Source organism: Homo sapiens, chromosome 8, assembly GCF_000001405.40.
Source record: "Homo sapiens chromosome 8, GRCh38.p14 Primary Assembly".
Classification (NCBI taxonomy): Eukaryota; Metazoa; Chordata; class Mammalia; order Primates; family Hominidae; genus Homo; species Homo sapiens.
Window position 1 is genome coordinate 24,089,580 of NC_000008.11, and position 25,153 is coordinate 24,114,732.

The 25,153-nt window shown below is 36.8% G+C and overlaps 2 long non-coding RNA genes across 2 annotated transcripts in view, besides 1 other annotated feature; both read left to right on the forward strand.

The window, feature by feature from the left end:
• The window catches only part of LOC107986931 (uncharacterized), a 290,196-nt gene that overhangs the window by 172,247 nt on the left and 92,796 nt on the right, over window positions 1-25,153 (forward strand). The window lies entirely within an intron of this gene.
• On the forward strand, window positions 410-16,725 carry LOC105379328 (uncharacterized). The gene is made up of 3 exons (XR_949589.2): window positions 410-797; window positions 11,195-11,304; window positions 15,465-16,725. It is a non-coding gene; the product is annotated as an uncharacterized LOC105379328 (long non-coding RNA).
• Window positions 16,782-17,419: an enhancer, noted in NCBI's record as "OCT4-NANOG hESC enhancer chr8:23963874-23964511 (GRCh37/hg19 assembly coordinates)". NCBI's record gives its function as "activates a minimal SCP1, AML or CMV promoter by ChIP-STARR-seq in naive H9 embryonic stem cells {active_cell/tissue: H9 hESC(naive)}" and the evidence as "EXISTENCE:reporter gene assay evidence [ECO:0000049][PMID:30033119]".

Genomic DNA, 25,153 nt, shown 5'->3' on the forward strand with positions numbered 1-25,153 from the left:
ATGATGTCCTATTATGATGGAAGTCATATGATCTAATGTGAATCCATGTCTATAGCTATTTCCTACATTAAGGATGGGACATGTCTACCTTCACTGGACTTAATTTCCCACAATTTCCTGCCCAAAATGCCATGGATCTCCTATTGATTTCTTCTCTATGTTTAGAAGCAATTAGCAATTGAAGTAAATTATAAGGTGTTTCATAAGCTTCCTTTAAAAATAGTTCTTCCCTTTGTTCGTGTTATTCCTTATGACATCCTTTTCCCTTCTTCCCCACTCTGTGTGGGGTCATTTGTCATTGCGGGTTTTCTCATACCCGAATTTTTTTTTCTTTTTTAGCTATTCATTAATTTTGGGCTGCTGCTACTGGTTTAAATTGTGGTTTTACTTTTTTCCTGGTTAAAATAAAACAACATGCAAGGGAAGTTATCCATACAGATGAGTTAATGTTTACAGATTTTTTGTGGAGATAGAAAATGCTTTGCTTGCCAGACAGGGGAGAGAGCTGGAGGCTGTGTGGACAATGTGGATCTTGAGAGAAGAAAAGAGAATTTCTAAATTCTTCCTTGGTATGGGCTTTCGGGAGAATCACTGTGGTTCAGCTTACACAAAACCAATCTCTGAGGTTTTGCTGCTCACAGCCTAGATGTGTGGGTGAGGAGAACCTGATGTCTCAGCCAAATAAGAGAAGTGAGCAGCCGTCAAGATTAAATCAACCTATTTGTGATTTTAACTTTGCTGATTGGACTCAAGTCACAGTTGCTTTTTCTGTGCTCAAGGTTAAACAGCAACTACAGGTACTTACTTAAAATTCACAAATAAGATCTTTAGTAATTTTACCTAAAATGTACAATTTAACTGAAAAGAAATTGTATAACCTCTTCTGATTCTTTGTTTTCCTAGAACTACTGTTTAAAACATAAAAGGCTTTCAAGATACATATTTTTGCACTTTATATTAAGAAAATGTACTAACAGGACAATGCCTTAGTAGGGTGTGAAACTCTTAGTAAATCTCAGTATTTCCTTTTTTTTCTCTTTTTTTTCCACCTCAAGTATTAAAGCCATGAAATATTAGATAGAAAATAGGTCACAGAACATGGGATCTGGCCGGGCGTAGAGGTTCACTCCTGTAATCCTAGCACTTTGGGAGGTAGAGGTGCACGGAATGCCTGAGCTCAGGAGTTTGAGACCACCCAGGACAACATGGTGAAACCCAGTCTCTACTAAAATACAAAAACTGAGCCAGGCATGGTGGTGGGTGCCTGTAGTCCCAGCTACTCAACTGGCTGAGGCAAGAGAATTGCTTGAACCCAGGAAGTGGAGGTTGCAGTGAGCTGAGATCACACCACTGCACTCCAGCCTGGGCAATAGAGAGAGACCCTGTCTCAAAAAACCAAAAACCAAAAACAAACAACAACAACAACATGGGATCTAAGGACAGAGTGGTGAGGCACCCCAGCTCTAATTTGTAAAAATCCCAGTGACAGGCTAGACACAGAGGACTGACTGGCTTGGCAGCTTTGCCAGTCAACCTTCCCTTCAACTGTCCATCTGAGCAGGAACTCAAGCTATTACACAAGCAGACAAGGGAAAGAGCTTTAACTTAGGGAAGAATTGGAAAGTGTTCCAGAAGGGGGTGTTGGGTCCAGAAAATTTGATATTTTTATTTTCCAAAATAATAAGACACAATACCTGTAATATTTAATGTTTATTTTACCAAATCATTATACTACAGGTAATATATTTTGGCAGAGGTAGGATAGATAAAGGGAAATACAGAAGAACTTCACTAGTGAATATGCAGTCAATTTTGCATAGTAAGCGACAACATTAACTGGTGTACAGATGACTTAGAGTGAACGGTGAAAAGGGCCTGGGATCCATTTACCTGTTCAGTGGAGTTTGGAAACCAGTAGCAGCTGGCGAAAGGACATTTTTTGTAAGGGGAGTGACTAAGGCAGATGCTGAAGATGGAGAAGGATGTGTGTGTGGCTGGCTGGCCGGCTTGTGGAATGGCAAGAGGCTGGTGAAGTGGAGTGAGCAAGGGAGAGGGCACTAGTGAAGTAAGACAAATACAGGGGAGCTACAACACAGGGGCCCTGTGCCACTCAAGTGTGATCCTGAGACCCTGCAGCATCAGCATCCTCTGCAAACATGGTAGTAATGCAGAATCTTAGGTCTCATCTCGACCTCTACAATCACAACCTGCATTTTAACAAGGTCCTCAGGCGATTCTCAGACATTAAATTTTAAGGAGCATCATCCATTGAAAAACTTCGGATTTTACTTTGGGACAGTGGTTGGCTGCCCATGATAGTGGTTGGAAGAATGGGGGGGCTGTGGTCTTTTAAAAATACTGATGCCTTAGCCCCACACCCAGAAATTCTAGTTTAATTGGTGTGGAGTGAGGCTTGGGCATTGGGATTTTTATACTCCCCTGGTGATTCTAATGTGCAGTAAGGGTTGAGGATGGCTACTGCAAGTAACATAATTTGACTTTGTTTCAAAAAGGATCACCTACACTTGCTGCTGTGTTAAGAGAAGATTGTATGAAGTCAAGAATAGAGATAAGCATGAGAATAATGGACAAAATCCAATTCATAGCAAGAAGAAAAGTTTTAAATTGGCATAGGACTTCTATCACTATGTCAAATAAAAGTGGCAAGAGTGGTCATCCTTGCCTTGTTCCTTATTTTGGAGCAAAACCTTTAAGTTTTTTTGTTTTTTGTTTTTTAACCATTGAGATCATGTTAGCTGTGAGTTTTTCTTACAGTCTTTACTCTGTTGAGGTAAATTCCTTCAATGACTGGTATGTTGAGATATTTTATCATGAAAGTGTGTTAAATTTTGTCAAGTGCTTTTTCTGCATCTATTGAGGGATAATGTGATTTTTATCCTTCATTGTGTTAATTGTAGATCTCTCGCATTAATGAATTTGCATAGGTTGAACCATCTTTGCATCCCAGGGAAAAATTCCACTTGGTCATGGCGAATGGTCCTCTTAGTGCACTGTTGAATTTGGTTTGCTTAGCATTGTGTTGAGGGTTTTTGCAGCTATGTTTCTTAGGGATATTGGCCAGTGGGTTTTTTTTCTTTCTTTCTTTCTTTTTTTTTTTTTTTTTTTTTTTCTTCCTGTAGGATCTTTATTTGCCTTTGGTATCAGGGTAATGCCAGCATCAGAAAATCGGTTTGGAAGTGTTTTCTCCTCTTCAATGTTTTGGAAGAGTTTAAGAAGCATTGGTGTTAATTCTTTAAAGTCTTAGCAGAATTTGCCAGTGAAACCATCTCATCCTTGGCTTTTCTTTGATGGGAGATTTTTGGTTACTGATTCAATCTCCTAATTAATTCAATTAGGAGCGATTAGACAAGAAAAAGAAAAAGTGTCCAAATCTGTTAAGAAGAAGTAAAATTATCTCTGTTTGCAGATGACATGATCTGACATGTAGAAAACCCCAAAACTCCACACATACAAAAATGTTAGATCTAATAAATAAATGAAGTTGTAGGATATAAAATCCCAACATACAAAAGTCAGTTACATTTCTATAGACTAACAATATGCTATCTAAAAAGGAAATTTAGAAAACAATCTAACTTATAATAGTATTAAAAATAAAATATATTGGAACAAAACTTAACAAGGAGGAAGACTTAAACACTGAAAACTATAAAACATTGTTGAAAGAAATTAAAGAAGACACAAGTAAATGGAAAAATATCTTGTGTTTATGGATTGAAAGATTTAATAATGTTAAAATGTCTACTATCCATAGTAATCTACAAATTCAATGCAATCTCTATCAAAATCCCAATTGTATTTTTTATAGAAAAGAAGAAAAATATTAAAACTCATCTGGAACCTCAAGAGACCCCCAAATAATCAAACCAATCTTGAGACAAAAGAAGAAACCTGCAGGCAAAACACTTCCTGATTTGAAAATATATTACAAAGCTAGAGTAATTAAAACAGTATGGTACTGGCATAAAAATAGACATATAGGCCAATGGGACAGAAGAAAGAACCAGAAATGAACCCACACATCTGCAATCAACTGAGCTTTGTCAGAGTGGTAAAAATACACCATGGGGAAAGGATAGTCTTTTCAACAAATGATATTGGGAAAACTAGATAAACACATGCAAAGGTGTGAAATTAGACCCTTCTCTTATGATACACACACAAAGTCAACACAATATAGGTTAAAGACTTAAACTTAAGACCTGAAACTGTAAAATTCCTAGACAAAAACATAGGGGAAAAAACTTCATGACATTGGTCTTGGCAACAATTTTTTTTTGGATGCCAAAAGCACAGGCAGGCAACAAAACAAAAATAAGTAGGACTCCATCAAACTAAAAGTTCTGCCTTCAAAAATAAGAAACTTCTGCAATATGCAACAACATGAATGACCCTTGAGGACATTATGCTAAGTGAAATGTGCTAATCACTTAAAGACAAATACTGCATGATTCCCCTTATGTGAGATATCAAAAGTAGTGAAATTCATAGAATTGAAGAGTGGAATTGCTCTTCCCAGGGGATAGTAGGGAAGGGGAAGTGGGGAGCTACCAGTAAATGAACACAAGGTTTCAGTTAAACAAAGTGAATAAGCTCTAGAGATCTGCTGTACAACATTGTGCCTAAGGTTAACAATACTGTATTGTGTATTGTATATTTTACTTGTATTTTTTATTCCTTTTTTTCTTTCTTTTTTTTTTTTTTTTTTTTTTTTGAGACAGAGCCTCACTTTGTCACCCAGGCTGGAGTGCATTGGTGCAATCTCTGCTCACTGCAACCTCTGCTTCTGGGGTTGAAGAGGTTCTCCTGCCTTAGCCTCCTGAGTAGCTGGGATTACATTTGTGTGTCAACAGACCTGGCTAATTTTTGTATTTTTAGTAGAGATACGGTTTCACCATGTTGGCTAGGCTGGTCTCAAACTCCTAACCTCAAGTGATCTGCCTGCTTCTGCCATCCAAAGTGCTGGGATTACAGGCATGAATCACCACACCCATCCTGTATTGTGTATTTAAAAAAGTAATAAGATGGATATAATGTTATGTGCTCTTACCACCATAAAAATAAGTAAATAAAATTTGTTAGGCATCATATAAAGAAAAATATGTAACTTTGCTGAAGGCATTGATAAAAATTTGAAAATAGAGCTTCATAGCATCGTCTTACAATTCAAATTGTAAAAATGTCCATTCTGTTCTTATTAATACATTCATATAATTCAATTCTCATCAAAATGCCATAAGATGTTGTTGAAACATGATAAAATGTTTCCAATACTCATCTAGAAGCTTAAAAATGTGAAAATAGGGACTTAGAGTTTGATAAAGAAGAATGAAATAGGGAAAGTAGTGGTAGGAGGTATTAACTTTTTTTTTTTTTTAATCAACCCACATAGTTTTTTCAACAGAAATGGCAGTGTAGATACAATAGAAAGTTGGGAAACACACGTTAGTATATTTAAGAATTTACTGTTTCAAAAAAGGAATATTTCAAATTAATGATTATTTCATACTTTTTGGGATAACTCTATCTCTTATACATTTGCATACATTCTAGACAGAAGAATTAAAGACATATATGTTAAAACAATCTCCAAAAATGTGAGTATGCATGTATGTGAGTAAAAATAATTTTGATATGGGTAAGGATTTCTTGAGGGCAGGGAGTAAAATTTTTTAAGTGTGACACAGCCAGAAAGCATAAAGGAGAAAATAAATTTGCTTTACAAAAGCAACTTACACATTTAAAAAATAACCATAAATAGGCTGAGTGAGGTGTCTCACACCTTTAATCCCAGCACATTGGGAGGCCGAGGCAGGAGGATCACTTGAGGCCAGGAGTTTGAGACCAGCCTGGCCAACATAAAGAAATCCCATCTCTACCAAAAATACAAAACTTAGCTGGGTCTGGCAGTGTGAGCCTGTAATCCCAGCTACTTGGGAGGCTGAGGCACAAGAATACCTTGAACTTGGGAGGTGGAGGTTGCAGTGAGCTGAGATTGTGCCACTGAACCTCTAGCCTGGGAGACAGAGTAAGACTCTGTCTCAAATACATAAATAAAAAGCAAATAAGACCCCATGGGAAATATTTGTCTTATATATGTTAGACATGTATGTGTCTCATATGTATTTGAATTTGTCTCTCAGAAATACAAAAAAATTCTTAAATTTGGAATATATATATATATATTCCATTTATATTTCTACCTCTGAATTTTCTGACAACCATTTCACATTGCACTATTAGGTGTTCAAACTACTGTTTGAACACCTAATAGCGCAATGTGAAATGGTTGTCAGAAAATTTAGAGGAAAATTCAGAGGAAGAAATACAAATGGGCAGTAAACATACTGTGATATGTCCAATTGCAGTATATTAAGAAATTCAAGTTAAAGTATGATATACTACTTTTTGCCTATTGAATTAGATGGTATTTTAAAATTATATTAAAATTATGATATTTGATCTAAGCAAGGTTATAACAAAATGGGTATTCTCATATACTCCTTTTCAAAATGTGTATACCCATTAACCCAAATGATAACTTTATGATAATTTTTATTAAAATAATTATGGCAGTGAACACTAATTTTGCTCCTGGTGTATATTTCGTAGCATTAAAAAATAAAAATAACAACATAAAATTCTATAATTTTTGAGTATTATAAAAATTTATGATACAGGTAATACAATATAGACATTTTATAGAAAACAGTTAATATTGAATATTGGGAACATAAATGTTCTAAATCAATATTAGACTTACAAATATACTCACTACTTACTCTTAAAATAGAAGATAATATGTATAGCATGAATTAAATTAAAGATAACTTTATAGAGAAAAAATCTGAAAGTGACAAAATTTGCTAAGTCATCTTTGAGTTCTTCCTCACAATTCTGTTAATCTGTACTTTCTAAATCTTCTATAATATGTAATAGTTGTTTAAAAATAAAAATTTTGGAATAATTTAGGTATAGAAAAGTTGCAAAGAGAGCAGAATGCCTGTATACTCTTCACCCAGCTTTTCCTAATGTTAACATATTTTGTAATTACAGTGCAATTGTTAAAAATAAGATATTGAAATTTATACACTACTATTAACTAAACTGGTTACTTTATTTGAATTTCACCAGGTTTTAACTAGTTCTGTTCCAGGATTTAAGCCAGGATACTATATTGCATTTAACTTGTTACTTTTCTAAAAAGAGGGGGAAAAAAAGCCCTCCAAAACTCATTGAAAAACAATAATAACAACATAAAATTTGCAAATTGAGGGCAACTATAGCATTGAGCATAAGATGGGCTTTGTCTGGGCTTCCTGCTTGCTGTACAAGAAACTAAAGGAAAGATGATAGGAGACATAAGCATTCTTGTCTTGTACCATGTTAAGTCTACATACTTGAAGCAGGTAATAGTGACCGGGGATGGGAGTAGGGAAGTGAGGTGGGATATACACACCACTATTCCAAACAGCCCCATTGAAAAACGTTTCTTCTCCTGTACAAAGGTTATCTATAACAATGGATCTTTGCTTCTGGTTGAAGCTATATCCAACTAAATATACTTATTTAGTTCCGCTCCGAAACGTTGATTGGCTGTCATTCCTTATTCAAAAGAAATTGAAAAATGATGTATTAAACACAAATTGGTAGGCTTTTGAGTTCTGTTGGGGAAAACAAGAAAAGAGATATTTGGTAATGAAATATTTAGGACTACTTATAGGCTAAAGAGGTATTTATTGCCAAGGTCTTGTCTAAGATCTTGAATTGTGCTGGTTTATTTCCATTTGTGTTGCTTGGCTCCCTGAGTGACAAGGGGCATATCCTTGTACAGTAGCCAGTGTAAGACTTCCAAGGAGAGTAAACTTGAAGGACAGTTTAGGTTTTGCATATCTGAGAATGACCTTTTGAATGGATTTGGTAACCGTGGTATAGACTCATTTTGTCTCCTTCAGTATTTGATTGGTTATTAGGCGACCTCCTCTTTGCCTCCCTGTAGTGCTCTATGATTTGGGGTGTTGCCATTGACCTCCTATAACTCAGGATTTATCTGACTTGATGAAATAGAGGATTTAACTGAGGGAACTTCAGAAATTCAATCTTATTGACTTAAAGAGCCTTCTTTCTATCAGAGTTCTTTCAATGAGTGGGGACTATAGGAAATTATCATTGTGGAATCAAGCTAAGTAGCTGAGTGTCAGATATGCTTTTAGGGCTCTCTGAAGCCTGAAACAAGTGGTTGGCTGATCTCTTGAACACATTCAGTATATTGATTTTCCTGGTAACTCACCCCTTGTGGGTTAAATGAGCACCTAAGCTCTTTCAATCTAGGCAGTATAATTCTGGATAGACCATATATAGTAAATAGTAGACTCCAGTATCTAGGTATGAAAAAACACTACTGAGGAAAAGGTGTATGTACAAGCCTACCTTGGTTAGGAGGCCCCCACTCTGTAATCCACCCAGTACAGGCTTTGGGGTAAGGCAGAGCTGGATTCAATTCTGACTCTGTCACTTACTGTGGGATTTCTGGTTTATTCCTTACCCTCGATGACTTTCATTTCCTCGTTTATAGAATAGGAATTCTAATATCCTCTTTGAAGAACTGTGAAAGTTAAAAGAAAAAATAATATAAAATATCTGATGCATACAGTCATGCAAAAAGGGATGCTTTAGTTATCCTCTCAGCCCTGCTTCTTCCCTAAAAATGAGCTATCTTGGTCACAAAGATACAATTCTTGTATAACCATTTTGTTTTGAAGCAAGAAAAGGTAAAAAATCAAAGCAAAACAAAACATGGTATTTCCCAATGGAGGCAAGTAAACTGAGAGTTTTGGATGTCAACATCAAGGTATGTCATTTTGTATCAAGGGATTTCAGAAAGGCAGGGTAAAATTGTACCGTGATTTACACTACTGTCAAAGTAAATTTTCAGAATCAGCTACTCTGCAGATACTTGGTGCTGATAAGTTAGTTTTTAGGTTCATTTAATCAGTTATCCCACTAAGCCAGAACTAAATGAATCCCAAATGATTTCTAGCTATTCTAGGACATGTGTCATTTTCCTTAACCCCGGTCATTACACTTCTTCCCCCTGTGTATTCCACGATTTTCTTGCCAAACAATTTCTGTAACGAAGACTACAAAAACCAAAAGTATTTACTTTCAAAATATTGCAAGCTACCTTAATTGAAAGAAGATGAGATGTAAAAACATTTGATCTAAGTACACACCAATCCTAATATGATATAGTTATGAAACTTGAAAGGAATGTAAAAATGAAATTAAGAATTTGTTTCATTGCATTGTATTAGAAGGTAAAAGTAACTTTGTGATACAAATGTACATTTATTTAAACAAGTACACTTATTTTAATATTTTGTGTGTCAAAAATTTTGATGCATTGCTTAATAGAAATGTGAATTTTTAGGTTTCACTAACAAAGATTCGGAATCAGTGGTGCTGAGGTGGAGCCCCTGGAAATATGCCTTTCAAGAAAGCATGCATGTGACCTTCAGGCAGATTTCCTTACAGAATATTTTGTGAAATAATTGGAGAATGAAATTGTATTGGTGCAGATGTCTTCTAGAAATTAAATTCCACCAGCTTTTCACAAACTTGCCCCATTGGCCTAAAATTGCAGACTTTTTCAATCAGCATTAACATTCCACAGTCTAGCTTCCTATATTCCAAGGAGTTCAAGATGCTCTGAAGTCAATAATGAAACCAATGAACATTTTAAATTGTGTTAACAGTAAATATCCTGATGGTAGGGTATATGGAAATGTTTCCATTATAATAAAAAAATACTGTGTGCAAGATTATAGAGATGCTTCAGAGCTAGCAGAATTAGTACGTAAGAGAAACACTTGAGTTACCTAGAGGTATAACTGACATTAGAGAATGGCATCTTGCACACTGAATCTAGCAGTAACTTTACTTAAATTTTATACCTAGAGCCTGTTCATGTAGACCGGTGCTACTCAAAGTGTGTTCTGCGGGTTGGTGCCATCTTTAAATGCTTGTTACCAGTTGGTGACAAAATCCATACAGAAATTAAAAGCTTTCAGAAACTTTGAATAACATTTTAAAAGAGTAATTTTATGTTCCTTAAATCTAAGAAGTGAAATACATTGGGCTTGCATTTTGTGTATCTTTTCTTTCAATTTCATTTTTCTAGTAATTCATGTTGATTGCATTTTACAAGGGTGTTGGACCATGATGGACTGGGAATTTTAAGTAAACTTGTTCTTTCACCAGGAGTAGGTTGAGAAGCCCTGATCTAGATCACTTCATTTGTGAAAACACCTCTTTGTTTACAGTTTTCCTTGAGACGGTGATTTATGATTGCTCAGAGATTGACCATTTTTCTCTCTCTGAGTCAAACCATAGCTGTCGCCAAGCCTGTTTGTAGTTATAACTAAACAGTGAAGATAAGGAGAGCTATGCATTGTATTTTGCACGCGTGCGCGCGCGTGTGTGTGTATTTACATTGTTCCAAGAAAAAAAAATTCAAGGAGGCTGGCTTAAGGACTAAGAAACCTGAGATGGAATGAGGCTCTCTGAATTTAGGAAACATTTATTTTGTTCTTGAAGAGTCCAACGGTGTTTGGATGGGAGCTTCCTTTCCTTTCTCCCGCCCTCCAAAAGATTATTAGCGTCTGGGAGCTGGTCTTGTCTACATGTGCTTGGATCCAAGTGGGCCTCAATTCTTGCTCTCATTTTGATGTATAAGGCCACTTCTTAGGTGGAATGCAGAAAAAGCTATCCTGAAATTTAAGTATGACTCTTGTTATGCATTGTTGAGTAGGTGACCTGCCTTATGTATAATTCTTAACTCTCAGAAATTAAGTTTTGGGAGAAGAAACAACACCTATCAATACTAATTACCAACTACACATTTATTACATTTCTGAGTCTCATGCCCCGCCTAACCACTGTCCTTAGTAGAAGGTGGTAGTTAGATCAAGTCCATTGTCAATATTTTCAGAGTTCATTGGACCGTTCCTGTTAACCTGCAATAGCTAGGTGGATCCAATCTAGCTCTCCAAAAGATGCTTCCAGACAGTACTGCAAATGCTATAATTTTTATGAACCCATATTAGCTTTTTGTTGTTATTGAAAGAAATTATCACAATTTACTGGCTTCACAAATATATTTATTTTCTTACAGTTCTTGAGACCAGAAGTCGGAATGAATCTTACAGGGTGAAAACCAGGGTGCCATCAATGTTGGTTCTCTCTGGAGGCTCTAAGGGGAAAGTCTTTTTCTCCTCTTTGCAGGTGTGTGTTGGGGGGTCTTTCCCAGCTTCTGGTGGCTGCATCACTCCAATCTTGGCTTCTGTCATCACCCTGCCTTATCCTCTTCTCTCTTCTCCTCATAGTATCTCCCTCTACTTCTCTTGGAAGCACTCTTGTGATTACATTTCAGGCCCACTTGGCTAATTACAGATAATTTCTCCATCTCAACACCCTTAATTTAATCACATCTGTAAAGTCCCGTTTGCTTTATAAGATAACATATTCACATATTCTGGGGATTAGGATCTGGGCAGTTTAAGCAGCCATTATTCAGCCCACTACAGACCTCAGTAAAAATCCTTTAATCCCTTTGTCTTAATCCCATCACATTTTAAAATGTCAAAGCAGGGCTTTTTTTGGTACGTGAGAGATTTTATTGGCTGCAAAATTAATATTGCAGCAGAAAAGCAGGTAAGAATACAAGCCTTAGTATTAGACTACGTGGGTTAAAATCCTAGCTCTGCCACTTAGTCTGTTTAACTTTAAAAATAACCACTTTGTGCCTTATTTTTCTCACTTGTAGAGTGGATAAGGTAGTATCTACTCCATAGGCTTCTTATAAAGATTAAATGAGTTTATACAAAGAACTTAGATCAATATCTACATACACAGGAAGTGTTCAACAAATGTTAGCGTTATCATAATATTTTAAAGCAAATATGTGTTGGTTAACCCTGTGCCAGGCTCTGTGACAGCTCCCAGGGCTATTTTCACATGAATTACAGGACTGAGGACTCGTAGAATTTGTGAGTGTTGAGAACTGGCTTCTTCAGCCTCTTTTCCACCTACATCCAATGTGTCTGCCTCAGGTCGGGCCCCTCAGCAAACTGACTCTGAGGTGAATAATTGCATAGGGGAAGTTTATATTGGAGAGTGGCCATCATAGCAGCTGTGGGGGAATAAAAGACATAAGATTGTGCAGAGAAAAGAGTTAACCTATGAGGCAGTCATAACGCAGGATTATTCAGTCCATTCTATGAGGGCCTCTGTTGCTGGAATGATCATGCCTTGAGCCAAAGGGTCCTTCCTGTCCTTCATACCCTCCTGCAGACCAGCAATTAGATGCAGTGTGTCCCCGGGACTGGGCCTCATCCTAGATAAGTTAAGTTTCTCCAACTGAAGGGAACATCCTGAGAAAGACTCAGCCTAGAGAGGTCGGCCGCCAATAATGTCAGCTGCAGGAGGAATGAGTGACTCAGTCCCACAGGAGCATCTGTGCCACCCACCTGGAGGGCATCATCTGCAGTGCTCTCTTAACTAGACATTCTGATGTCCAAAGTCTTAGGGTTTCACGCTCCCTTGCAGGTGAAGAGCTGTGTGTGATTTTGGTTTTAGTGATCAGAGGTACTCCACGGAGGTTTTCATTTAGAACTGAGTGAAGTAGGGGACAGAACAGGCAGACATTCATTTGCTGAGGGGGACTGTGGCACAGACAGTGTGATTTTTCAGTCGGAGCCTTCCTTATCTAGTACCTTCTCACACTGATGGTGACAGCTCTCCTGCTGTCATGGTAGAGACAGTGTGATACTGGGGACTGGGAAGTGTTTCAGGGAGTCAGGTTAGAACCGACTCTCCTAACCTTCCTGTGATTTCTTGTAAGCCACTTAATACCTGATAGTAAATTATTTCTACTTAATTTAGCTAGATGCTAAATTTGTCGCCACTGTACTATACCCAATTATAATAATTTTATTGTCATTTGTTTTGTAGATGAGAAAACCAAATGTCATTGAGGTGCAGTGATGCTCATAGCACGATAGAACTTGCAACTTGCAAGTGGCAGAGCCCAGATTCTGACTCCAAATGCTGGACTCTTCCCCTGTAGAAAGGTTAGAAAATACACATGATGTATGCTGCCCCTCATCTGTCAGCCGACGTCCAGAAAGGGGCTTAGAATCCTTAGCACAAAGCTTCAGAAAGCCACAGCTGGTTAATAGAAGGTAGCACGTAGTAAGTCTATTGCAAATTTAGCTCCATATCACACAATATTTAACTACAATGAAGGAGTAAGTCTGATTTCTTGGTTCTCTTTCTACCTTTGTTTCTCAGTACATTTCAAGGCCTCTTCCCAGTCGAATGCTCTCAGATGTCAGTAGTCCTGCCTCTCTGGAAAGGTGTTGTCAATCTAACATGTTATCCTCACATCAAGGGTTTTGACACTTAAAGGATGACCTCCAGAAAAAGGAAATGCTTAACCCTACAGAAGGGACTAGTAACAAAGTAAGTTTAGAATACTCGAAGGGAGATGTTTCAATAATATCTCGGTACTGGCACTTCCTCTAGTACAGCACTTTACACCCTTTTGCTCAGTAAATATTTTTTGATTGGATGCTTTTCTAATTTGTCTGCTAATGGCTGTGTGGGCAAAGGCAGAAGACTTGGATTCAAAACAAAGAGCAGTATTAGGGTTAAAATGATTTCTTCCAGGGACAGCTCCCAGGGTAATATTCTAGAGCATAAATTTAGCTTGGCTGATATTTTGTGAAGGAAGTAGAGGAGTCTTTATTTATTTTGAAATGCAATAGCCAAGGATTCAGCCTTTGATTTCTCTCCAGATATGGTTGGAAGTTCTGAAAAGGTCTTCTGGGTGCCTGGATCTTGCTGCTCCAATGCGAATCTTCTTGGTGTCTCTCCTGGGTAGCTACAATCTGCCTTTGATCTCACTCCCTAATTCTGGGTGTGTGTGTGCTGACATTTATAGTTGTAGACTTGTTTGCTTCCTTCTGCTTGCCTAATTGATCCATTTTCCTGCTGGGGGTCAATACCCAAATGCTATGACTTTGGTGGTAATGCCATTCACCCCATTCTCAAAGTGAACACATGTGTGTGTTATATAAACAGCGTGGTATTATCCTCACTGCCGAACTTACACCAAAGCTGTGTGTTTTTACAAATGTATTAAATAAAATGCTGCTTGACCACATTGGTGGTTTGACAATGAGTTTAACCTTGAAACAGCCATATTTTGACCTAATCTAGTATGAAGTGGGTAAAGGAGGTGACATTTATTGAGTTTTATTTATGCTAGGCACAGTGATAGGCATTGAAATACACAAATTTCATTTCATCCTCACAATGTTTTATGAGGCGGGGATTATTATTCTGGGGGGTGAAGTAACCCAACGGCACAGAGGTCTGAATCCAACTGTGACTGCCTTGTCAGAACATCAGTTTGCCTCCTTGTGGTCTAGGTAGTCCCTGGTAGACCTGTTGGAAGTAACTGTGGAGATCTGATGGCCAGGGATGGTCTTGAGTTTTACCTTCACTCTGTTCTTTTATTTACATTCATTTAAGTGCAAGAAAAAGTGAACCTGGGGTGAGAAGTCATAGATTCTTGTCCGAACATTGTCATTAGCTTGTTGTATAATGTTGGGCAAAACACTCCGCTTGTCTGGGCCTCTCTCTCAACATCTGTAGGAATGATTTGAGCTAAGTTGCTGCTGGATCTCCCCTCCAATCCTCCTGGCTGCCTGGGAGTGGGGAATGCTTCATAAAAAAGATATTCCACTTGATCTTGGTCTTTAAGGATGTAAAAGAGTTTACCAACAAAGATGGAGAATAATAGCTTTGCTGAGAGAGAAAACAGAATGTTCACTTCTGTATGTATGGTGTGATAGGACACACTCTTGGAGAATAGTGAGAAGCAAAGTATGCTCTATGGATAAAATATACACTATGAGGTGAGTAGAGACAGGAAGTTTGGGACCCAGTTGTAAAGTGCCTGGGATGACAATTGAAGTGAGAATTTCACCCTGGATGTAGGAAATCAATGAAAGTCTTTAATGTGAGGAAGTCACCGTCAGAGCTGTATTTTTAAAAAGTTTTTCTAATGGCAATACGAAGGATGGACTGGAGGGAGAAGAAGTGAGATAGGAAAAGCAATAGGTTTTGCATATTAATGTTCCAGAAGAAGATGATGAGGTCTAAATTAGCAGAAAAACAGAAAAAAGGAATGAGTTTCTAAAGATATATATGAGAGACAATACGTTCCCTGTCATACTGATCTGAGTTACCTTGTGTATTTAATAGATTCTAAATGTACATTTAAAAATATGTAAAGATTCTTGAAATTCGGATTCATGTTACCATTGGCTATCCCGGTTTAATCGCCAGAATATTTTTTCTTCTTTCTAAATGCATAGACATACTGATGAGTGTAACAATTCATGGAGCCATAGATACAGCAAAATAAGGTAAGTTACTGTCCAATTTTCTCATATTCTCTGTACAAAAATCCTCTAAAGACTTCTGGTCCAGTGGAGGTAAAAATCATTGCCCCTTCCTTGTTAAATGGAGCAAAGTAAAAGGATAAAATCAACCTGGCTTTCCTTAGTAAGTAAAGGATCAAGTTGGTTGTTTGTTGAAAATACAAATTCACTTTTTATTGTAACTATTTGTTTCTAGGTGAAGTCAATTCTCTGTCCTAAATGAAATGGCAAAATACTCAGATTCAGCAGAAGAGAAGTAGCATGAGATAATACAAAAATCTGTTAAAAGCTTTAATTTCAAGTTCTGCCTGTGGGGCATTAGTTGTGTGACCTTGGACAAGTCATTTCAGCCTCTCTAAGCCACTCAGTTGCCTTCTTGGTAAATATAGTTCCAAGATCAGTCTCATAAAATTGTTGGGTGGCTGAAATGAAATATTTACATAGATAATGTAAGATAATTTTTTTCTTTGTTAATCCGTTATCTTGTTTGAGTACTTTGTAAGCTTCAAATTACTATGCAAAACTTAATTGCTGCCCATATCTGCATGCCCTGGTGGTATGTTCATAGCCTATCGAGGACCTAGTATCTCAGACCTCCAGAGAGTCATCTTGTTTAACCTGTTTTGTAATTTGGCTCTGAAAGCACATTTTGATGGCGGATGTGGTATTAACAAATGTTCTAGAGGGGAGAGTGGTTTGCCAGGAAGCTTTGCCAATTAAAAGCAAAGTGAAAATTCAGAATTACAGAGATTTAATTTCCTGCTGAATAATTCTCCACAAGCTGTGTAAACTTCTCCTTACTGAACAAATACTCAGAATAAAATAGCTTAGATGCTCTTTTCCTTTTTAATAAGAAAATGTTCATATTATTTGCATGTGGAGCCAAGGGAAGAAGGAGGTCTGGCTCTCCTGAGCTGAGTTTGTATAAGTCATCAAGAATCCTGCTGTGTCCTTGACCTGTGGAACTTGGAAGGCTGGGTGAAAAGAGCCATTTTTAAAGGGCCTTTTGCCAGCAAGAGCCCCATAGATTGTCCCTGGGCTAGTTCCTTGCAGTCTGTTTAACTTGATACTTTTAAAATGAATTGACCATTAGTGGAAGATGCTTTAGAATAGTGTTTGAGCACCTACAATGAGCCAGTCCTGAGGTCAAGTGGCTAGCAAAACAGACATGGTCCTTGACTTCCCAGAACATAGTTTGGAAGGGGAGTCAACCAACAGATGTTCACATACATAAATATAAAGATAAAAATTGTGATAAATGTTAATATTAATGCATCCAAAAAGAAGGCTATTTAAGAAAGGACATTTGAACTGGAACGTAGTGTAAGTGGGAGGTGTTCAACTGCCTAGATCATAGACAAGTGTTCAGGCAGTGGTAGTCTCTGTGAAAAGTCCCTGAAATGGAAACGGCTGGGTGTCCTTGAAAAGCTGAAATGAGGCCAGTATGCAGGAGATAGCTTGAGGGAGAATGGTTCAAGAGAAAGAGAAATAGTTCCCAGATAATAAAGCTCTCCTGGACCTAAGCACAGTGGGAATCCATTAAAGGGTTTAAATCAAGAGAATAGCCTGGCCAGATTGTATTTACAAAGATCACTTTGCCTGCTGTGTGGGAAACCACTGAAGAGCAAAGTTTGCAAGCAAGGACAGTAATTAGCAAGCTCTTGTAATCATTCTAGCAAGTGATGGTATTGAGGTGGACTAATGTGGTCATAGAGGTGGTGAAGAACAGTGTGCAATTTTGAGATATATTTTACAGTCAGGATCTGCATGACTTGATTCTGAATTGGATGTTAGAAGTGAGGCAGAAAGTTGAGACTCATAGTCGAGTCTCAGATTTACAGATTGAACACTAGCTGGGTGGATCATGAAGCCATTTACCAACTCAGTTCCACAGAGGAAGGAAGTTTTGATGGAAGACCTTAAAGCTGAGCTACAGGTCTTAAAAGTCTATTTAAGTTTTTATTTCATGTAGACTTCATATCGAGTTTAAGTTTCCCAGCAGAGTCACAGAGTGCAATGCTACGTAAGTCTGGAGCTTTCAGCAGAATTCAAGCTTGGAGATACAAATTCAGCAACTCACTGAACCATGGAGAGTTGTGAAAGCAATAGTATAATGGGACTCCAGGGCATTGTCACTAAGAGAAGTTGGAGCGGTTGCCTCCTTCTGATTAGTATGTAAAAATTAACTGAGGAGATTAGGTTAGGAGGACACAGGCCATGATCAGGAAGCTCAAATCGATCATTAGGCAATGAGAGTAATTGAGAATCAGAGCACAGGCTTCTTTTGAGGGGGGAAAAAACAAGCAGCTCTGTCTCTCCCATAAGACATATGATAAAATATTAAGCACGTACCGTGTAACAGGCATCATGCAAGGCATTTTGTAAACCTTTTTCCAATGTAAACTTTATAAAAAGTTTGCATTGTTCTAAAAGATATGTATACACATAGGTTAAGGGGTTGAATAGTTCTACAAAGGTTATTATGAAAACCACGTTTCTTCTGCCACTATTTCCAGCACCCACTCCTTATAGGCAGCTGCTTTCCATTCTTTTAGCTTTTTCTCTTGGTATTTCCATGTATGTCCTAAATAACACATTTTATGATGTTAATTCCTGATTTTTTATTTTTATTTTTTTTTGTTTCAGGCATTGTATTTTAGCTTTTCACTATGAAAAATGAGAACTTAGCCTTTTTCTTCAGGCTCTTCCTCCAAACACAAAGGCACTGAGAGAATAGACTCTAAAGCTATAGACAGTGTAGAGTGGAATGCACTTTTAAAAGCTTCCTGGTAGAGTTTGAATTGCCAGTTGCATCTCCAGGTAAAAGAGATGGCTTGACAGAACGTAAGGGCAGCAGCAGTGTCTCACCTACAGAGGAAGCTTCTCACCTGGACAGGAGTGGTAAAAGGCAGTTGTGACAATGACCACAGCACCTTGCATTTCAAAGCTTTATGTCTTTGCAGTGCATTTTCCCACTGACTCTTTAAAGGACTTCTGATATTCCAGTGAAGTAAGTCGGGCAATAGTATTTGTATAATTTTTTCCCTCAAAAAGGAAATTGAAGTTAAGAAAATTTGGGTGATTAAGCCAAGATGAGTGACAATTGCGATTATGGCAATGAGGGAAATCATTGATTGATAGCTATGTTTCAATACTAAATGAACACAGTAATCTTTGTTTCTAACAAGCAGTATAAAGTACATATGTGTATGTCCATAATAAACATGTATTTGCATATAAATTATATAGGTATTTAACAGTGTACATATTTCACTGGCTGTTAAAACTGTACATGTGTATGTATATATTAATATATAGCATAAATTGGTACAAGACTAGAAGAAAATAAGCAAAAACTGAAATAATTTAGTTGGAAAGATCAGATTGTGAGTGGTAGCTTAAAATTATTTTTTTCCTGCTATACTATAGCTAAGCAAATTAAAATATTTGCTAAGTAAATTAAAAAGTAGTACAACTTAGCAGGTTAAAAGAATTTTTTTCCCACCTATGAGTGAGAACATGCAGTGTTTGGTTTTTTGTCCTTGCGATAGTTTGCTAAGAATGATGGTTTCCAGCTTCATCCATGTCCCTACAAAGCCCATGTACCGTAAAACTTAAAGTATAATAATAATAAAATAAAATAAAATAAATAAAAAGAATTTTTTTCTTTCTTTTATCTTTTTTTTTTCTTTTTAAAGATGGAGTCTTGCTCTGTTGCCCAGCCTGGAGTGCAGGGGAGTGATCCTGACTCACTGCAACCTCTGCCTCCTAGGCTCAAGAGATTCTCCTGCCTCAGCCTCCAGAGTAGCTGGGATTATAGGCATGTGCCGCCACGCCTGGCTAATTTTTGTATTTTTGTAGAGACAGGGTTTTGACATGTTGCTCAGGCTGGTCTCAAACTCCTGGCCTCAAGTGATCCGCCTGCCTAGACCTCCCAAAATGCTGGGATTTCAGGTGTGAGCCACTAAGCCTGGCTAAGGATTTGGATTTGTTATTACAAATGCCATGGGCTGTTGTTTAGAAATCCACATGAATTAAATTGTTTTAAGAGAAATTATCAAGTGAGCATAAGAGTATAAGAAAGGGTAGGGATAGAATCTTTCCTCATTTTACAATGTGCCCTCCCCAATCCCTATTTCATCATACATATATAAAATTGTAATTTTTTGTGTATGTTAGCTAGTGAAACATGATTATTCATGAATCAGCATGTGAACTCATAGACTTACTATTGCCTGTCACACAGCCACAAGTGCACACCTGCTTAATTCACTGTGCCCCTCTGCAAAGCAGTCATGACACTGCTAGCTGGGAGAGAGTCACAGAAAGATCTGTTGCTGTGAATTAATCATGAAGGTGATAATGCCTGGACAAGGGCATGTATGGGAAAGGGTAAGGCAATAATTTGAAGACATCTATTTTCCCCAAAGAAGTTAGTTGGAAAAATCAATATTCTGAAAACTGCTTAATATATGATTTTTTTTTCAAACTTTGGGCAGTGTAGCAGGCATGCCATTGAAAAACAATTGAATTAGCAATTGAAAGCATTGTTGAGAATGCCAAGTCTCTTCCACGTGGATGTCATGTCTATGAAAAATGCAAAGGTGGCTTGGGATGTGAAAAACTGTCTAACCCAAATCCCTGGTGAGAACATAATGCCTCTTTAATAAATTCAATAAAAATATAATAAATTATATTTAATTTTATAATAACCAGTAAATTTATAATAAATTCATGTATTTATTTTTATTAAAGTAACTTTATAAAATTATTAATAAATTTGTAGTAATTAATAACATTACTTTTGTTAATATAATAAAAACTCATAGAAGGCCAAATTGCAACTTTCTAACATAACCACTAGAACAGTAAATTGAAGAGGAAACTAAGCCTTCCTGCATCATTCCATAATGGATGTGACACGCATTCGAATGGTAGTATCTACTCTGGGTGACATGGTATAACCTACACTCTGAATAATCCCAAGAAAATGGCTAGCTCTACTTTTTTTCCCTGTGGTATGCTTATCTCTTGCTGATAAATGCATTATTTATCTTTGTAATGCTATATGATTACTTACAAATGAATTCCACCCCCTACCTCCAAATAGCAGTACGCTACCCTCTCCAGTGCGAAAACTTGATTTCGTGAGGAAGTGAGGAAGTTGATTTAAGAATGTCCAAATGAAAATAATAGGTTCGAGCTTAGAATGATTAAGGAGTTTTGCATTTCATTAATTTCTCTTTCTCTATTGTTTTAGAGAAGAGTTTTCATCCACTTTGGATTAAAAGTTTCATGTCTTCTTGATAAGTACTCTATATCCTAATATAAAGCTGATATAAAATGTGCATTTCCTTCCTCCTTGTATCAGAGATTATTGGTATACAGTGGTCGGAAGACTTTCTTCTATGGACTCAGGCTCACTTTGTCCTTCTTACGGGCATTTTTTTAAATTTATATTTCTACAGAATAAGTAACGAACCTATAGGGGAATAGACTGATGAAAAGTCACAGCATCATGCTGAATCAAATGGGCACAGAGAACTGTTCAAAGTGGACCAGTCATCAGGAACAAGTGGCTCCTTAGGCCAGACCCCAGGACCTCCTGAACCAGGACTGAGGAGTGGTTTAGGTTTTTATGCCCCTGGGTTAGTGAACATAGCTATGTCACGCACAGGACAGTAGGCAGGAGCATCTGCTCATTTTCACAACAGAACAACCAAGGGGTCTTTGGGTTATGACAACTTGAACTCTAGAGTTAGATGGCAGGGGTACCTCATTTGGCCCGGGAAGGATGATAGAGGAAGGCCACTGTATGTTCAGTAGCACAACTGCCATCCAGTGGGTAACGACCTTTGCAGCAGTTTGTCCCACAGTGGCCTTTCTCCTTTTGTTGTGGTTTTTACAATCATGGAAGAAGGCAAACTGGTGAAGAGAATTAAAATGTTCTCAGCAATTTCTCTCTCAAAAGGCTCTTCCAGTCCACCATTTGTCCAGCCAGCGCTATTTTCAGGGTGACTTGTGTTTGTGCTTTTTTTGGGTTTAAAATCCACAGTCTGGCCTATTTCCCTGGCTATTAGCCTCTTCCTTCTTTGCTCTTCCAGCAGAAACAGAGCTGCTTTTTTTTTTTTTTTTTTTTTTTTAACCTCTGTGACTTCCCAGGGACAAGTGTCCAGTCACACTCCCATAGTGTGTATTGCTCTTCTATAGGAAAATTAAGATTTAGTCACACACACGTACACACTTATAAGTCCTTATTGCCGATGGGTGCAGTTTGGGAATTCAAGTTCAATTTTTTTTTTTCATTTTTTACACAACTCTCTTTGAAGGTATAATTGTCAATTACTGAAAGCCTTTTTACATTACTGTTCCATTTTCTTGGTCAGTCTCATAAGACTGTGTGTGTGTGTGTGTGTGTGTTTAAATCTGATGGGCATAGATATAATCCTCCGACCAAGGATGACTGCACACCCTCCCCCTTTTCCTAATGCAGCTGTTCCCTGTTGACTCTCAGGGATGCACCATCCTATGCCATGCCCCTCACAGACTTGAGCATAAGCTACTGAATTTGGATTTGACCATATTTGTAGATGGTGCAGGTGTGGCTTATTTCATGCCAATTATAATTTCACAAGACACAATTTATTTGATGTCTTAAAATACCTTGAGCAGGTATGAACACAGTACCTCTGGTAGGTACCATTTTCGGCAGAACATTGGCAAAGCTGAATGGCTTGAGAATGGTTCAATATTTGAACTTCCTATTGGAAGAGTTGGGCTTGGCACTGTTTTTAAGAGCAACCAAGGAAGGTGGAGGAAGAAATAAAAACAAAGTTGATGATCTTAAGCAGCAGGCTAAAGTTTGGGCAGTGTCATACCCGTTAAATTTTCTTCTTAAATCCAAATAATTTTTATTTATTACTCACCTTTTTAAAATTACATCTCCTCTTGAATTATGGAAAGCGATACATTAAAACATTTAGATACATTAAATATATATACATTAAAACATTTAGAAAATTCAGTAAAACATTAAGAAGAAAGTAAAAACCACTTGTTACCCAAATTTTAGAAATAATTTCTGTTAACATTTTGATACGTGTCTGTGGATATTAATATGTACATGTATATCCATGATGTGCAGCAATATTTATATGCATAATTATCTTTGGTAATACTGGTATGTGTTTATATGTGTATAAATATTCTTGCATTGCACATAAGTATATTCATGGTTTTGCTATGTATAATTGCAGTGCATTTGGATTAAAGATATATATGAATCCTCTACAATAATTTTAAATAGTTAAGTAATATTCCACCTTCCAATGTATTCTAATTCAATGTTGGGCATTCATGGAATTTCAAATTTCTTATTATAAAAAAAATTTGATGAATATAATAGTACATTTATGTTCATTAATGGCTCTATTTCTACAAGAAATATGGTTAGCTCAAAAGGCTTTTTTGTTTTTTCACATTCTTAAGTTTCCCATCAAAATTGTTCTTATTGATGTCCCAGCCAAAAAATTTATGTGATACTTACTTCTCCACAGCCTTGCTGACATTTGGTATTAATATTTGTGTTGATAATTTTGTGAGCAACACATTTGTATTTTCTGATTATTATTGAGTTTGAATCACTTTATTCCTACTTCTACTTATTTTTTCTCCATTTGAACACTTTATGTCCTTTACCCATTATTCTTTTGGGAATATTTTTTCTTAGTGTTTTGTTTGTTTTTGTACTTCTTATAAGACTGTAGCTCAGATATTTTGCCAGAAAGTGTGAAACAGTCCATGTTGTCTTTGATTTCACTGGGATGTGACAAGCTTTCTGAATTTCATACCGAAGTGCTTTACTTGAATAAATGTCGCTGTATTATAGCTCTGTTACTTAGAATGTAATACATTCTTATACAGCCAATCTTCATTACTCATACACTATGTATTTGTGAATTTTCTTACTTGATAAAATTTACTCGTAATCCCCAAATAATACTTGCAATGCTTTCATGGTCATTTGCAGACGTGCACATGTGCTTACCAGGGAAAACTTCCAGTTTTTTTTCAGTATATTTAGTGCCACATTTTTTTTTTAATTTTTGTGCTTTTCCTTGGTAATTTCTCCATTTAAAATGGTTTCCAAACATTATACTCAAGTATGTCTGGTGTTCCCAAGTGCAGGAAGACTGCAAGATGATTAATGGAGGAATTGTGCATCTTAGAGAAAATTTTTTCTTTTTCCAGACATGAGTTGTAATGCTGTTGGCTGTGAGCTCAATGTTAATAAAAATTATATAGTGAATAAAATGTCTTTAAACAAAGACACACATAAAACAAAATTATGTACTGATGGGTTGGTGAAGACGTTGTGACCAGAGGTTCACAGGGCAGAAACCTAACCATGTGTTTTACTGAGGAGTACTGGTTTATTATTCAGTGGTTCATAGCCACTTTAAAGAATATAAGTACCACAAATAATAAGAATCGACTGTATATTCTTTAGGGGCATTGGTATTTTGGATCACTGAGCATTCCTATATTTCTACCATTTTCTCATGTTTTTTAACCTTTTGATCTTTCAGCTTTTTCTGAGAGTATTGCAAATTTGATGCCACACCAGTGATTTATTATTATCCTCCAATGAGAATGATCAGCCTTCTGTTTTATTGTTGTTCTTATGAGTTTCATCTATCCATATCTCTCCGTGTATTAGTGTAAAGAACCAGGGCAAGTCTTACCAGAGCTTACTAAAGAAATACCATTATGAACTGAATGTTTGTAGATTATTTTGGTTTTCATTTTAATTCTTCACTGCATCACGAGGCACAGTATACCAAAATGATATATAGAAATGAAAATATTCTCTTCATTCAATTTCTCCAATGTAAACAGTGCTACTGAAGAGTATTTCAATCAGCAAGATAAAGTGTAATTTTCCCCTAAAATAGAGTTATTTATATATACTCCATTATGGTCCTGCCCTTAGAAACTGAAGATCAATCAGTACCCTTAAAATTAATTAATCAACAGCAAGATTACTCTTTGAGTATGGAATAAAGTGGGAGTAAGGGGCCGGGGAAGGCATCCATGATTTTCTTTTATCAAAAGAAACTCACCTTTATTGATTATTAATAGGCATTTAAATATATTATCTTAATGATTACAAACCCCAAAGGTTATAGGCATTTAGATAGTCAGTGTAAGAGCTGGTCTTTGAAGGCAACAAAAGCTTATATTTGGATCTGGACTCTGGTACTCATAAAAATAATAATTGGGTCTGGTTTATAAGGTTATTGTGATCATTACATGAATTCATCCATGTAAAACATCTAAAGGAGCTTCTGACACATAGGAAAAAATAAGTATTACTTTTATAACTATAACCTTGATTCAGGTGAAGCAAATAAAGCCCAGAAAGGTGGAGTAGCTCATTCAAGGTCTTACAGCAAGTACATGGAAGCACCAAGACAGATCAAGTTTGTCTGTTTTTAGATTCTTCATTTTTCCTGTACCATTTACTATTTCTCAAGACAGTAAATATTGTAAACCTATATTTGTATTATAACTGCATGCACTGCAGGATTTCAGGAAGGCAAGCATCAATGTCTTCAAAGTGA